We start from the raw sequence: 15,926 nt of genomic DNA on the forward strand, positions 1-15,926 counted from the left end.
TCCTAAATAAAAAGAAACTATTTCCGGCTGCAGCAGATGACAGATTCCAGTGAGCAGCCCTGCCCAAACACCCTCAATGCCCTCAAAGTGTTCTGATGTTTGTAATCACCTATGACCTGCTATCTTCTTTTTGCTGAATATAACGTTAACATTTTTTGAAGTGATGGCTCTTTTTGGCAAACAACATTAGGGACCTTTAGAAAAAAACATTAAATTAGAATAAACTAAGAACACTTTTGGAACATGCATTTTTTCCCCTCATGGCTGATTTTTTAAAAAAGCCCGTTTCTGTGATTTCAACATTTATAATTAACTGCATGACAACAGAAAGACCTTTATTTATAGCACTTTAAAAATAATATAAGCAAAGCTTCATAAATAATGGAATCAAAAAATTTCTATCCTACCTGCTGGATATAGTTTCTTTTTTCTTAAAAAAAAAAAAAGAGTGATCAAAGAGAATATAATGCTACCCTAAACAATGTTCTATCTTGCAGTTTAGTTGGTGTAAAATTTTAATTGTGAAGATTAGCTGAGACTATTAGGCTTATAATTAGAGGCAGTCTCATAGAGAATGAGAAAGTATCCTAGATCCAAAGCATTGCTTACTACAACCCAGGCATGCATTTTTAATGAACCACTTGCTGAGTACCTCTGGGGAGAGAATTATGCTTACTGCTACATTAAAAGTAATGAGAAAAAATATAAGTAAGATACAATGTTTTCCTGAATATTAAATGACAAAAAAGTTAAATTAAAATCATTGGACATAGGCATATTTCACTCTTTTCTGGATATGCACATTAATTCTATTAATTCTCCAAAAAAGGCTGATTTTCATGGTGTGGGGGGTGGGAGGGTGGCTGGCATCAGATTTTCAGATTTTCTCAAGATAATAGAAAGTTAAAAGGTGGCCTACAACAGCCAAATCCCAAGTGTGAACATGGACCTATGTTAATCATGGAGCATTAACTGAGTGCCTTTCCCCTACAACTATAACCACCTGTATTGTACTTTCCTAGTTCAGAAAGGGAACTGGGGGCTTTTTAACTTAGAGCTTTCCGGGGACAAATACCCTTAACCCCGTATGGAAAGAATTTAACAAGAAAACTCTAGCATAATAGTCGCTAACATTTATTGAACATTTGTATGTTCTAGGCATCAAATTCAATGCTTTACACATGTCCTCTCATGCCTTCTCTGCCCTTTGACAAAGGTTTTCTTGTTATCCCCATTTTACAGATGAGGAAACAGGTTTAGAGTGAGCCACTTCCCCAACGTCAAGCTGAGAGTATATTATAGTTTACACAGGAAATAAAGTGAAGGGACGGGAAGGGGCGAGAATGTCGACAGCTCATTGCATTTTCAATATACTGGCTAAAGGAATTGTGGCACAGGTCTTCAGTGGCTTGGTTCCGTGGTCTTTGTCTTTTGAGCTGGTCTGAATGTATACAAACCTATTAGCCTCAACTCCAGTTCTAAGTGGTGAGGGACCTCATCTCTCCAGCAGGGTGTGCTAAACAGGTGGCCTCCTCCAGGAGAGGCCATCAAACAACCATATACATGTGCATTCACATTCGCTGCCAAGTTTTTGTTTTGGTCACCTCTACTGCACATTTTAATCTGGAGACGATTACAGTCCATTCTTGGAAGGGATAAAGGAGATTAGCATTCGTGAGGTCAGCTCTGACAGTGTCCCTTTGTGCCTGCGTTCCTGACCTCGATCAACTTCTCCCTACTCTGTGAATAGCAGGTCCTCTGCTGCACAATCAGCATGCACTTCAGTGAGCTGGACAAAGAAGGGGAGCAATCCTCCCAGCTCTTTATCTCCAGAGATTGCTGAAGTCAGTCAAATACCAACTGGATGAGGTTTTACAAATTGGTGGCTACCCTAGCTTTTTTCTGGATACAAGAGGTAAAGAATACCATCACTACCAACAACATCAGAATAAGTCCAGCGGCAGCTACTATTTATTGAATGCTTCTGAACTGCTTTGCAAGTAATGACTCTTACACCCCACAACCACAGTATGGGTTATAACTGTGTTTTCCAGATCAGGATACTAGAGCCAAGAAAGGTTAAGTCACTTGCCCAAGTCACTTGTAAGTGGAGGAGTTGAGATTTGAGTCCCACAGTCCTGTAACTGTGCAGATTCCATGTGCTGCAGTTGTCTCAGTAATGATGCTCCAAAACACCTTTGACCCAAGCTCAGGAGAGATTTTCATTAGTCACAGGTGAGAGTCTCCTGGTTTAGAAAGGCTGTTAGACACCATAAGAGGCCATCAGGATAACTCTAATATTTTTTCCCTGAAAAGCAGATAGCCTTTTGCTGGGGGGTTGGTTTAGGAGCAGCTGCAGTTTGTTATGGGTGCATGAGAGTGGCCTAGTGATCTTCTCAGCCCCTGCTATCCAAGGCTTGTGATTCTAGGATTCTATTTCCCTACTTGGGGATGCAAATGCAGGCTCCTGGGTCACAATGGGAGTGCTCGAATTTCTTGTGCTAGTGCCTCATGTGAAAAGTTAGCTATTGTTTTTTGCATTTCTTTGAAAAGTTTGGAAAGATGCTGAGACAAGTAAAACAAGCCTCTTAGGACAATAAACTGGGTGGGTGTACCCATGTTTTCATTTCTACTTTTTTAAAAAAGATGTTAAAAATACTTGCAAAACTCCACAAAAATGCTTGCTCACTCCTAAAGTTAGAAGTGCTTGAATTGAATTTTTTTCTTTTCCAACAGTTTGTAAAAAGACAAAGAGGCTGTACTCCCATGTTAACTGTAGCACTATTCACAATAGCCAAGATATGGAGTCTGCCTAACTGTCCATCAACAGATGGATGAATAAGAAAATGTGGTACTTATACACAATGGGATACTATATAGCCCTAAAAAAGAGGAAAATTCTGTCATTCAAGACAACATGCATGAACCTAAAGGATATTATGTTAAGTGAAATAAGCCAGGTACAGAGAGACAAATATCACAGTATTGCACTTATATGTGGAATCTAAAAACGTTGAACTCCAAAGTAGAGAGTAGAAGAGTGATTACCAGAGGCTGGGATTAGGGGGTGAATGGGGAAAGGAAAGCCATCTGTCAAATATACAAAGTTTCACTTAGATGGGAGGAATAAATTCTAGTGTACATTTTTTTTGTCCTTTTTTTTTTAGAGACAGGTTCTCACTCTGTCTCCTGGGGTGGAGTACAGTGGCACAATCATAGCTCACTGTAGCTTTGAACTCCTGGGCTCAAGTGTTCCTCTCACTTCAGTCTCCCAAGTACCTAGGACCACAGTTGCATATAGTCTAATGCACCTGTAACTTTTTTGTGGTGTTCTATTGCACAGTATGGTGACTATGGTGGACAATAATGTATCGTATATTTCAAAATAGCTAAAAGACGATTTTAAATGTTCTCATCACAAAGAAATGGTAAACATCTGAGGTGATGGATAGGCTAATTAACCCGATTTGATCATTCCACAGTATATGTATATTGAAACATCATGTACCCCATAACTATGTATAATAATTATTATTTGTCAGTTAAAAGTAAAACAACAAGAAAGACAAAGACACAGGGTATCCAAGATGCTGTTTGCTCTTCTCTAAGCATATGTCTCTTCTAGAGATAGAGCCAGGGGCTGACAAGTGATGTAGCTGCTTCCGCTAGACCTAAGTACCTTGAGAGGTGTGTTCAGGGGAGTAAACATTTGCTCCATTACTGTTGCCCTAAAGTTAACAAACCCTCATATCCCCTCAACACAGGCAGAGTCAGGGCAGAGCCTTAGACAGTATTGTAGCACATGGTAACCTGAAGGACAATCTAGTGCATCCCTCAGCTTGCAGATGAGGAGGTTGAGGCACAGGAATGCGGCTTCTCAAGGTCCCCTGTCTGGTTAGGGGCATAGCTAAGCCCAGGACTTAGGTGGCTGAAGAACTCTTTTCCCTTTCTGAACTACTGGGAGACATGCTCCTCTTGTACTTGGTTTTGATAGTACCATGCCTGGTGACATTTGCCAAGAGGTACAGCTGATCTTGTCTTCATGGATGAGGACGGCTCTGAGGATGAAAAGATATATGGCATGTAAAGCACCCAGGTGCCCCCACACCAGTGACCAATAAACAATAGCTCCTCAAAACTGCAGATCTAAGAAAAAGGTGACCAAACCCTCAAGCACTACTAAGGAGCAATAGCTCCTTATGATTATGACTAACAGTATGATGACCACTCATGGAGCCAGTTTAAGGATTAAAGTCATCTGGCTGTTTACCCACTTTATATAAATACACAGGCACACATACATTCATAAAGACACCACTATGCTTTTAGGAAGGCACGTACCTCACTGTTGGCACTTTCCACAAATGACCCCCCGAACATGGCTGCCATCCACTCACAGCTACAGATCAGCAGCGGCTTGTGGGCACTGATGGCTCCATCGTCCAATTTAAATGTCACGTCTGCCAAGGGATTGAGGAAACACAACCATGAGCCAACTTTGCTGAGAGCTTCAACCAAGGCTTCTGCTCCCATAGCCACCAAACTGCGACTCCCTTACTCTCTCTTGCATGTCTTTACTTACTGATTTTATGTCAATCCCCATCTTTGAGCTTTGACACACCCAGCTCCCACCTAAGGCAGCATGCTGTATTTGACATCATCACACATAAAGTCACGGCACAAACTCTCTGAACCAGAAAGTAATAGAAAGGAGGGAATATTTTTTCCTCCTTGCTATGCAAAACTTCAAGCATATAAAACAGTGGAACGAACAGTATGATGACCACTCATTTATCCTTGTTAACATTTTGGCATGTTTGTTTTACGTATATTTTTAATTTACACCATTTTACTTATTAATACTCAATTAAACCTTACATTTATAATATGCTCTACTCGTATGCTATACCAAAATGTAACCGAATTACTGTTTTTTTTAAGAGATGTGGGGGGGGGTGGGTCTGGCTATGTTGTCCAGGCTGGATTTAAACTGCCGGGTTCCAGCAATCCTACTGTCTCAGTCTCTGAAGTAGCTGGGACTGTGGGCAAATTAGCCACCATGCCTGGCTATATGTGTATTTTTGTATAATTTTGTGTATGTGTATAGACTTTTTTTTTTTTACAGATAGCATGGCACTTCACTCCTAACTACCTTATCACAAGTTTTCCCAAAATAACAACAGTCTCCTAAATAACCATACTATGATTACACCTAAGAAAATTAAAAATAATTCCCTATTATCATCCACTATATTGTTCATATTCAAATTTCTCCAATTATCCCTAAATCGTATTTCATAGCTTTAAAAAAAAAAAAACAGAATCCAATTGAGACTCCCACATTGTATTTGATTATTATGCCTCTCCAGTAAGGAGGAGGTGATTTAATCAACTCTACCTAAAGCTCACTGTTTAAGTTACTGTAGGTTTGTAACATATTCTTTTCATTAATTTTCAAGACTGTTTCTGTAACACAATGGCCAGTGTTTGAAGTAAATACTACTCATAAGCTTTAAAATGAATGAACTGAGTCTTTAGGAACCACTTACTAAATGTGTAATGCCCTGGCAGGGATTATAAAAGATAAAGACAAAGGTAGAGGTATCCATATAAATAGAAGTCAGGAAGTCAACATTTTACGATGAAATTACACACACCCACACACCAGCCCAGAGAACAATTTCAGAACAAAAATAGTCCAAGTGTAAGACAGTACAAGCATGGGTCAATAACCCATATTGGATGCGGGCCACCAGCATGCTTAACAATTATGAAAGGGTGCTGCGGGCAGCATATGGCATAGTTATCAAAGGCAAAGGAGGTGCAGGAAAACTACAGAAGTGCAGGGCCAAGGAGCATGAGGACGGAAAAGGAGAGGGGATGGAAACAGATGAGACACCCCTTGTAGGAAGATGGAGGGCCACCAAAATTGCCTCAAGGACTTTAGTGGCCTCAGGACTTGAGATCACTGATTTTTGTCATGGGTCAGTGCTGAAGGGTCAATGGAGAATAGAATTGGTCAGAGAATAGATTCTGAAGGGGAATTGTATGCAACAAGCCCACTGGAGATAGGCTTGGGGTCCCTGATCCACTCTTGAGGAGCAGTGTGGTACCATGGTGGTTTATGGAACAGGTTTTGATACCCACAAGAGCATGGGTTCAAATCCTGGCTCTACCATTTATTGCTGGTGTGACCATGGGCAGATTACCTAACCTCTCTGTCCCTTGGTTTCTCCACCTGCAAAATGGAGACAATCATATTTAACCTTTAAGTCTGATGAGGATTAAAGAAGTTAATGCCTGTAGCTTAGAAAGGTACATGGGAAAAAATAAGTACGTATAAATGTTAGCTATCGTTCTTCTTTCTCCTGCTCATGTCTGGCTAACGTTCAATGAAACACAATCAAAGGTATTAATGGCTCTGCCCCGCGGCCCACTCACCCGAGAACGTTCCCTTGCTGAGACACTCTTTTATCCGATTGGCTTTCCTTACGTGAAAGGCTTTCGTAATCTCCTGGTTCATGAAGGCTTCCTTGTTCATGATGTTTTCCACCATCATCCTCAAATCGAACATCTCGAGGACCTCTGCGATCTGAGCCAGGCCCACCAAATCCTTTTCCTTTTCATCCAGTTGTCCCGTATAAAGAAACTGGAGCAGGGTCCGAAAAGGGCCTGGCTGGACTGAAGCGTCCATCCTGACCACAGTCATGGGCCCCATCCGCTTTGAAATGGGGTTGACTTGCATTTCCCTGTGCATGCCAATGAACCCCTTACTCCATCCGGTCAAAGTCTGTGTCTCAGGAACTGCACCCTCGGCTTCCAGCCCCAGAGCCTCCACCAGGCTCTTGTTTGAAGACTTCCACTGGTCGGCCTGAGGAATCCTAGGCGGGCCCTCCTCCCTTTCTTCCTCTGGGTCGACACTCAATATCCGCCCCTGGAAATCTCTGCTCTGCTTCTCTTTCTCACAGGCTCCTTCACTCCCATTTGGGGATTCTTCACATTCCATTAAAAACAGATCATAAAATTTGGAAGAAGAGGTAGCGAGGTAAATTCGATGTGCAAAGATGTGTTCCTGGTCCTGAAGGATGAACAGAACATCGGCACATAGAGGATTGTCCAGTAAACAGGCAGCTTCATTTGTCCCCATGGAAGGACACTCTGGAATTTTGATGACCGGTGGAGGGGCTTTTGGAGGTAGGAAGGGTGCCTGAAGTAAAGGTTTCTGGACTTTCTTTAGGTGGGATTTCCAGAATTGCAGGTGCCTGCGGGAAATCAGCGCTGCTCGGATTGCATTGTCAAACACATCCTTGATACCAAACTGGTCAAACACGCTTGTTTCATAGTATGGTAAGCCAAGTTCCTTTGCTACCTCTCGGCCTTTTTCTGGGGGCAAAATATCCCCTCTCTTTATGGGCCTGAAATAGAACATTTTAAAAATTATAATCAGCCTTGTTTTAGGAAAAAAACAGTAACAAGGGCCTATCTAAGCACCTAATGGAACTATACACTGAAAACTCCAGTCAGGCTTTTAGTCTCTGGAAAAATCTGCCACCACCTCAAGTCTTTGAACTATAAAGGAGTTATGATTGAAGGAAAAAATAATGCTTTCAAATATTTCAGAGTTTCAATGCACATAATTTGTGAAGCTTATCCATAAATATTCCATGTTTTTATGTTATTATAAATGGCATTGTTTTTTAAATTTTATTTTCCAATTGTTCATTTCTTAGTTTATATAAATAAAATTGATTTTTGTGTATTGACCTTTTATCCTATTATTTTGCTAAATTAATAGGTTAATTCTGATAGCTTTTTTTGTAGATTCCTTAGAACTTTTCATTTACATGACCATGTGCCTAAATAGAGAGTGTTTTACTTCTTTAAAAAAAAATGCTGTCAGCCGTAACCACAGTAACTGAAGGATCATCACTTTACTAGCTATTTAATCTTGGGTAAGTTACTTAACCTCATTAAACATTAGTTTTTCCATCTGTAAGACAGGAATAATAATAACAATGAGTAATTATATCTTGAAGGACTATTGAAATGTTTAAATTATTAGCATGGCAATGCTAAGCATAGTATTTTGTCGACAGTAAGTGCCTGATAAATGTTAGCTGTTATCATCATTATCACTACTCTCTTCATCACCTTCACCTTTATCAACAGCATCTCATACTTGAATTTTACTTTATAACTTTAAAATCCATTCATATACATTTTTCATGTAAGCCTCACAATAGCCCTGTGAGGTATTATTTCTGTTCTACATTCTGAGGAAACTGAGGCAGAAAGGTTAAAGGGTTTGTCTGAAGTCACATTTTCAGGCTGCTGAGAGACCTCTATTAAGCAATTAGAGTCAAGACTTTCCCACTTCTAGTTAAATGATCCACTTCCTACAGCTCTTCTCTGTTGGATTTGTGAATTCTCTTTCAAATCTTTGCCTTCTTTTTTCCTCCAATCCCTTCTTCAAGCCTTCTTTTGCTTGGACTGGTGCATTAGCCCCTTAACTAATCTTTCTTCACACCCACTCCTCACATTTTAGTCCACAGTCCTCACTGCTGCAAGAAAAGTCTTTACATAACACAACTATGACCTGGCGGCAGTTCTGTTTTAACTTCCTCTGATGTCACAAAGCCCCTGGAATAAAGTCCATACCCTTTAGGCTGGCACACAAGGCCCATTTACAACCTAATCAAACCCTGGGAGGACAAATCTTTGGAAACAGTAGATGCAGTACAGTGCTGGGGTTATGGCATAACCATGGCAAAGGCATAGATGGGTTCCAGAACACAGGCAGGAAGTGCTTTATTGTGACACACATCACAAAGTATTGATTCTAACACACACCCTTAGGAACTTACCTTCTTATATAAATATTTGGCCTTTAACACCAAAGGTAATATATAGGACAGACACTGGTCTTAGGAGGAAAAAGATAATACTGGATAGAATTTGGATTTGACGACTTAGATGAAAAGGAGGGAAAATTATAGGGTGTTGACAAAGGTGGAAGGGAAGTTCAGGGAAGAAGGTTTAACTCAAAAGTTCGCTCCTGAGAGCATTGTGTTCCTTGTTCTTAAGACTGACTTGAAATTTACCAACTGATGAAACTCTTCAAGGCTTAGCTCAAATACAAACTCCTTCACAAAATCTTCTTAGAATTGCTCTGTAGAAGGCACTGTCCCCTCCACTGTTCTCTATAGCTCTGCAACTCTCCTCCAGTCCATGATTGTGAGGACTGATTATCATAACCTATTTTTATACAGAAAGTTGCTGAGGCCAGGACAGTCTCTCATTTACTGTGGACTTCTTAACCTCTACATGGCCCCTAATATTCAATTCCTAGTCCATGCACTGAAGAACAGAAGGATTGTGAAAACTGAATATAAAGTGTTTTTAGAAATTTAATGCAAAACATACCTAGAACATCAGAAATTGTCTAAAGAAAGTACCATTTACTATTGCTTGGAGAGCATAAAAAGTTGTGTCAATATAAAATTTTGTAATAAGCCTATTAGGTAAATGTCAAAATAAGGGATTTTTGTTGTTGTTGCTGTTTGCTTTTTTTTTTTTTTTTTTTTTTTTGAGACAGGGTCTTGCTCTGTCACCTAGGCTGGAGTGAAGTGGTGCAATCATGGCCCACTGCAGCCTTGTCCTCCCAGGTTCAGGTGATCCTCCCACCTCAGCCTCTCAAGTAGCTGAAACCACAGGTGTGCACCACCAGTCCTGGCTGATTTATTTTTATTTTTATTTTTCTAGAGACGTGGTCTCACTATGTTGCCCAGGCTGGTTTCAAAATCCTGGCCTCAAGCGATCCTCCCACCTTGGCCTCCTGAAATGTTGGGTTTACAGGCATGAGCCACTGTGCCCAGCCTAGAGGAGGGTATTAATATCAAAATTTTTTGAAAAGGAGTGCTCTCCAGCCAAAAAGTTCAACATTAAAAAAACATAAAAAGTTGTTTTTTTATAAAGGGGATTTGAGGGAACTGACATTTTAAAAGAAACGTATTTCCCTCCACATGGTTTGGCTATGTCCCCACTCAAATCTCATCTTGAATTATAGTTCCCATAATCCCCATGTGTCACGGGAGGGACCTGGTGAAAGGTAACTGAATCGTGGGGGCGGTTCCCCCATGCTATTCTCATAATAGTGAGGAAGTTCTCATGAGATCTGGTGGTTTTATAAAGGGCATCCGCCTTTGCTCGGTTCTCATTCTTCTCTCTCCTGCCGCCATACGAAGAAGGATGTGTTTTCTTCCCCTCTGCCATGATTGCAAATTTCCTGAGGCCTCCGCAGCCATGCTAAACTGTGAGTCAATTAAACCTCTTTCCTTCATAAATCAGTCTCAATTATCTCTTTATTAGCAGCATGAGAATGGACTAATACACCCCACCAAAATCAATATCGACATTTTATATATAGTGAAACAAATTCTCCTTCAAGTTGTATTTTACATTTGTGACACTTAAAAATGTAACCACTAGAGACATTTAAAAAGTAGTAACTGTTTGTTTTGCAACTATAGGTCCGAATGATTTTCAAAAAGTGGACACTGTCATCTTGAGAATGAAATACTGTAACAGGTTGGACTGAGGAATATAAGGAAGATGAAAAACCCTTCAATATGTGTGTTTGTATGAATCTGATGTTCTCTGGGGCCCAGATACCTCTAAGTGTTAACTAATTTTATTGTAATAATTATAATTTCAAGGATGACATTATTATGAGTAACCAACATTTTGTCTAATACTTTATACTTTTCAAAGTGCTTTTAATCACACACTTTCATAATTAGAGAATTTACTTCAAGTGCTGTCCAATCATTTGACAAAAATGAGTTCTGACACCAGAGATGATGGTGCCTGTTAGAAGGGCTCAGGGCACACTCCTCATGATTTATGGGCTGACTTAAAACCCATGGCTGATTGATGGGATCCAGGAGTGTTGAAGAGCAGAACACCAGGCTACAGAGACACCTGCTGCCTGTAAATTTTAACTTGGTCAGGACAGGGAAACACTGAGTCCCTTGGCTTACCTTGCTAACGGGCGCCTGGCTCGATTAACAGCTTCCAGGTCGGCATAGCGGAGATCAAGCTGGCACCCAACAAGGATAACGGGTGTTCGAGGGCAAAAGTGCTTGATTTCTGGATACCACATGCTTTTCACATGATTTAGGGAATTGGGATTAGCAATCGAAAAACAGAGGACCACAACATCAGACCTAAAAGGAAATCATAAAAGAAGCTTGTATTGCCTTTTAACAGGTTTTTTCTTTTACCATTATGGTTCCTCTCAAACCCCATCCTTCTAATGCCATCTCATGTCACAATTAAAAAAAAAAAAGACCAGATATTAAAAAACATCTTGGAGTCATGCAAACAGCCTGATAAGCCCCCACATTCCAGCACCAACACAGCCTAACAGTTCATTTCCATATTGCACTGCAGAATGCTGATGCATTGACGTTTCCGATGAAGTTATTTTATGGTAGAGATGATTACCCAAACTTGTCTCAGTCCTGGAACCACAACATGCTGAACTATTTCTCTTCATCACAAGAAATAGTTTCAAGAGAAAAGAAAATACAAACTACCTTTCACCAGTTTAAAAAACATAAAGGTGATGATGACTCATCCCAATGAGATAAAGCAAACAATTTAAACATTACTGAAAATGTAACAAGTATTTGCTGTACAGGGTCAGCAAATACACAGAAGGATTTCTGCCCTTCTTCCCACTTATGCACACATGTAGACAGCATAGCCACTTATCTGTTTCCGAAAAGAAAAATCCTGAATTTGCAGGAATTTTGACTCTTTACTAAGTAAGGCAAGAAGGTAATATTTAACATATAACTAGGCGAGAATTAGATTGATGACTAACAAGATGAGAAAATATTGGAAGCAGATTTCTCAAATGTTACATGAGATACAAAGCAGGTATATGGGGAAAAGAAAAACTGCTTTATAGTAAATTTTGACATAAGGGTCTTCCATTTTTACATAATAACTTACCATTCTAGGAGTCAAAGAACTATTTTACAAAACAGTTGTCCAATTATGGTGTTTGATAAATAGCTGCTAAAAGGAATCTTTCATAGGAATTATAAACCATCATTCTAGGTTAAAATGTGCTGAATGATGACTTTCAAAACACTGAGGCAAAAGGATACAAAGAATAAGAAAAGTTACGCCCAAGGATTCAAGACTATCTTGTAGCTAAATTCAGAAATAAACTCTTACAATTTCATTAGATGTTAATTTATTGCCATTGCCTTTACTGTTTATGTAATGAGAAGAGTCAAGTCGATGAATCAAAACACCTTCCTTTTAAATCATTAATGAGCTTCCCCCCCTACATATCAATGAAGACAAACAAATATATGCAGGCAACCATAAAATTTCTAAAAATAATCACTTGCAATGCAGAAAACTGCAGGGTGCTTACATTAAATGTAATTCACAAGCTGTGTCTTTAAATTTATATCCAAGAAAAGCTGCACCAGACCACAACAAATAGAGCAGAAAATCCTGAGATTAAAATATTTCCAAATTATAAGAGAGGACCTAGGACTTAAAGTAGATGAATGTATTAATCTGAATGTTCAGAATCATCTTGAATAAAGATATCAAGATTTTTGGATGCTGGGATAATATGAGCAAAAATATGCATAAATATATAAATGAAAAGGAAACATGTCTTGTCTTTGGGATTCTGATTTACTTAGTGAAATATTCTGCGCTCAGTCTTACTTACAATCAGCATAAATAACAGTATCCAGTAAAGCCAAGAATGCTTTGAATTTTACATTTTTTATGGGCTGAGTTTTCTATTATTCATAATCATATTTATATCAGGTATCTGATGAAACTCTGCTATAAGCTTCATCCTGAACACAAAATAAAGCCACCATGAATTTTGGTACAGTGAGAATAGAATGAGAATATCTGAGGTTCAAAATTATACAAAAAGAATTGAGGAAATATATCCAGCACCTAAATGTGTTATAATATGTATAAAATAGTTCTAATTGGTGCCTTCTATTTCCCTATTAAGACACATGGCTCTAAGGGGAATCATTCTCAGAGCTTAATTTATATGACAGACATGTAGCTAAATGTCAATTCTGTTCTCTAATTTTATGATACAGCATGTGAGGTTTTGAAATCAGAGCTAGCTTGGTTGTCAAGGTTACCATGATAACACTCATGGTATTGAACACATACTAGTTGCTATCCAGATGACCTGTAAACAAGTACAGACAGGACCTTGGGGGTTGGAAAAAAAGGAATCTTGTGATGATAGTAGCACAATGCCATCACACAATACAGGTCCTGAGGGCCCAACTTCTAACTATGTCACATCAATATCTAAATGCATGAAATGCCATTGGAAAGCTGGAAAAATAATTCAATGTCCTGTAAATATTTCACCTCAAAATAATGATAGTTAAAGAAAAGAGGTTGTGCTGAGAGCAATACTACCTCTGAAGATAAAATAACTTATTGAGTCAAAATTCTATCTGTATATCAGAAAAAAGGTCTTCTTTTTTTTCATATTCACATTTAGGTGCTATGAGAATCTGTGCTCATTATTTTACACTGAAAGCAGTTAAAAATAAGATTATTTTTTATTTATTTATTTTTTGAGACGGAGTTTTGCTCTTGTTGCCCAGGCTGGAGTGCACTGGCATGATCTCAGCTCACCACAACCTCTGCCTCCTGGGTTCAAGCAATTCCCCTGATTCAGCCTCCTGAGTAGCTGGGATTACAGGCATGTGCCACCATGCCCGGCTAATTTTGTATTTTTAGTAGAGACGGGGTTTCTCCTTGTTGGTCAGGCTGGTCTCAAACTCCCCACCTCGGGTGATCCACCCACCTTGGCCTCCCAAAGTGCTGGGATTACAGGCGCAAGCCACCGCGCCCGGCCCAAGATCATATTTTAAGTATCACAATGCTTAAATGTCTTGTGGTTAACCCTTGTTGATCTAAATACAAATGCAAGTTAAGAAAACTTTACATAAAGATTACACAGAATTCTATTCTTAAGGTCTGCCATATGAACGTAGCTCCCTAAAACCAAGTTTAACCAAAAGGCTAAGCATTAGGAATCAATGGACGCAGTGACAGAGCTATAGAAAGATGCAGCTTTGATGCATTTCTCCTTACCAACATTCTTTTGTAACTCCTAATTCTCAACACATCAGTATCCTCTGTGATATAAACACATATACAATCAAGTAACTATTTTCAGAATGCCATTTATTCCCTCTAGATTTTGAGCCATTTTTTTTTAATCTAGTCAAAGAAGGCACAAGACCTGCAGCTAAGAATATCTCCAGCTTTAGGCAGAATGCCAAGGAACTAGAGATATTAAATAACTTTTAATCAAAACATTCATTCCCATGTGGAGACTGTTCAATGTCTGACATAAGCTTGTGTTTAAAAAATACCATTCCTCTGAAAGATAAAAAGAAACAGGCAAGTTCTAGCATTTCTATTTCTATGGCTCTGTTACATTTTTTAACTTTGAAGAGTCAGTTTAAAAATAATTGGGAGTGGTGAGTGTGATGAGGACATTCTCACATATCAGGCAGTAGGGTTAGTCTAGAAATGACCTCAGGGGTCCTGTTTCAGCTGTAAAAGAATCAAATAGGATTTAAATGGAGTCCTACAGATATTTGGGGTAAAAAGCATAAGAATTCGAGAATGCAGAGGCAGAGTACAGGGTACATGAGATTGTAAACTCCAGAACCTGAATACTGAAAAGGGGTAGGAAGGAGTTTGGAATGTTTATTGTACTTACTTTTATTAAATATTTTATGTTTCACTGGGCTAAACAGTTTTATTAGAGAAAGCCAGAATTACAAAGGACTTAAGGATATATGGTCTTAGTTGCTTGCCCTTGCCCACGGAATGTTTATATCTTAGGGAAAAATGACTTCTTCTTTCTAAGGAGAAAATATCAATATAAAAATTTCGCTGGGTACTAAGACATCAAATAATGTCCATGAAATAATGTTTTGACTAGTCAAATCAAAAACAATCTGAAATAAATCGAAATGTTGAAACAATTGGAGATCTTGTTTCATAGAGGAGTGGGAGTGAATCAGAGAGACCAAGTCATCCAAAAATGCCTGAGCTGATAAAGCCAAGCTCAGCTGCATCAGTTTTACTTCAGATTTTAAACAAACAAAAAAAAGCATTTTTTTTCAGTTATCTTTCGAGGGGAACACTGGCCAAAGATAGCATGTGAAAGATTGGCAAGGATATTTGAATAACATAAGGAGTACATGCAAAGTTGGGACCAATCTTTGTTGGAGGATTAAAGAAAAAAAAATCCAAAAAAAGTGCATCTTACCCACATATCTTGGCCCTAGCTAGACTTTGAACAGCAAAATACCACACATGTTCTCAGAGACTGTCTTTATAATGTCTACAGTCAAATATAGCAGAGTTGGTGGGAAAAGATCAGAGAAGCAACCAGAAGCTCAACTTTTTTTCCAATCTGAAATACCAGATTCATCCTTTGAAGACATGGTCGGAAAAGAATTGATAATCAGTAACAAACTTTTATTGTTAAATGAATTTTCTTCTAAATTCTTTCCTGTCACAAAAGTACTGTCTTCTTAGTTTGACTTTCCTTTTCTAGTATCATTTATTTTGCCACTATCATCCAGCTGAGGAGCTGTGGGCCTTGGGTTTTCTTACCTGGTTAAGTGAAAGAATAATTCTGACATTATCTTTTTATCTAGAAGCTTCAGATCAGGTAAATTTTACGGGCAATGAGAAGGACAGTGGACTCCACCAAGTTCTCCAGAAAGCTATGAGTGGGACAGCCAAATGCCCTTCTCCAGTTTGTCTGAGTCTGGTTGGGTCTCTTGATACAGTAACACTTGGTGACCAAGAATAAGCTAACAATT

The 15,926-nt window shown here is 39.0% G+C and overlaps 1 protein-coding gene across 55 annotated transcripts in view; it reads right to left on the reverse strand.

Annotated features, from left to right (window-relative positions):
• RHOBTB1 (Rho related BTB domain containing 1) overlaps positions 1-15,926 on the reverse strand; it is a 141,108-nt gene that overhangs the window by 20,911 nt on the left and 104,271 nt on the right. For 50 of the 55 annotated variants that reach the window (XR_007062022.1, XR_007062020.1, XR_007062021.1 and 47 more), the window contains 3 exons: positions 11,040-11,225; positions 6,442-7,415; positions 4,342-4,460 (listed from right to left, as the gene is read on the reverse strand). Coding sequence is in view for 52 of the 55 variants with exons in the window: in XM_047426080.1 (XP_047282036.1) it covers positions 4,342-4,460; positions 6,442-7,415; positions 11,040-11,225 (1,279 nt within the window). In the remaining 3 variants the exon portion in view is untranslated. Of the gene's footprint in view, positions 1-1,118; positions 4,059-4,341; positions 4,461-6,441; positions 7,416-11,039; positions 11,226-15,926 lie in introns of those variants that run through there. The other 5 variants (XM_011540428.2, XM_047426103.1, XM_047426104.1 and 2 more) reach the window with 1 other exon arrangement.

This window comes from Homo sapiens, chromosome 10 (assembly GCF_000001405.40).
Source record: "Homo sapiens chromosome 10, GRCh38.p14 Primary Assembly".
In the NCBI taxonomy this organism is placed as follows: Eukaryota; Metazoa; Chordata; class Mammalia; order Primates; family Hominidae; genus Homo; species Homo sapiens.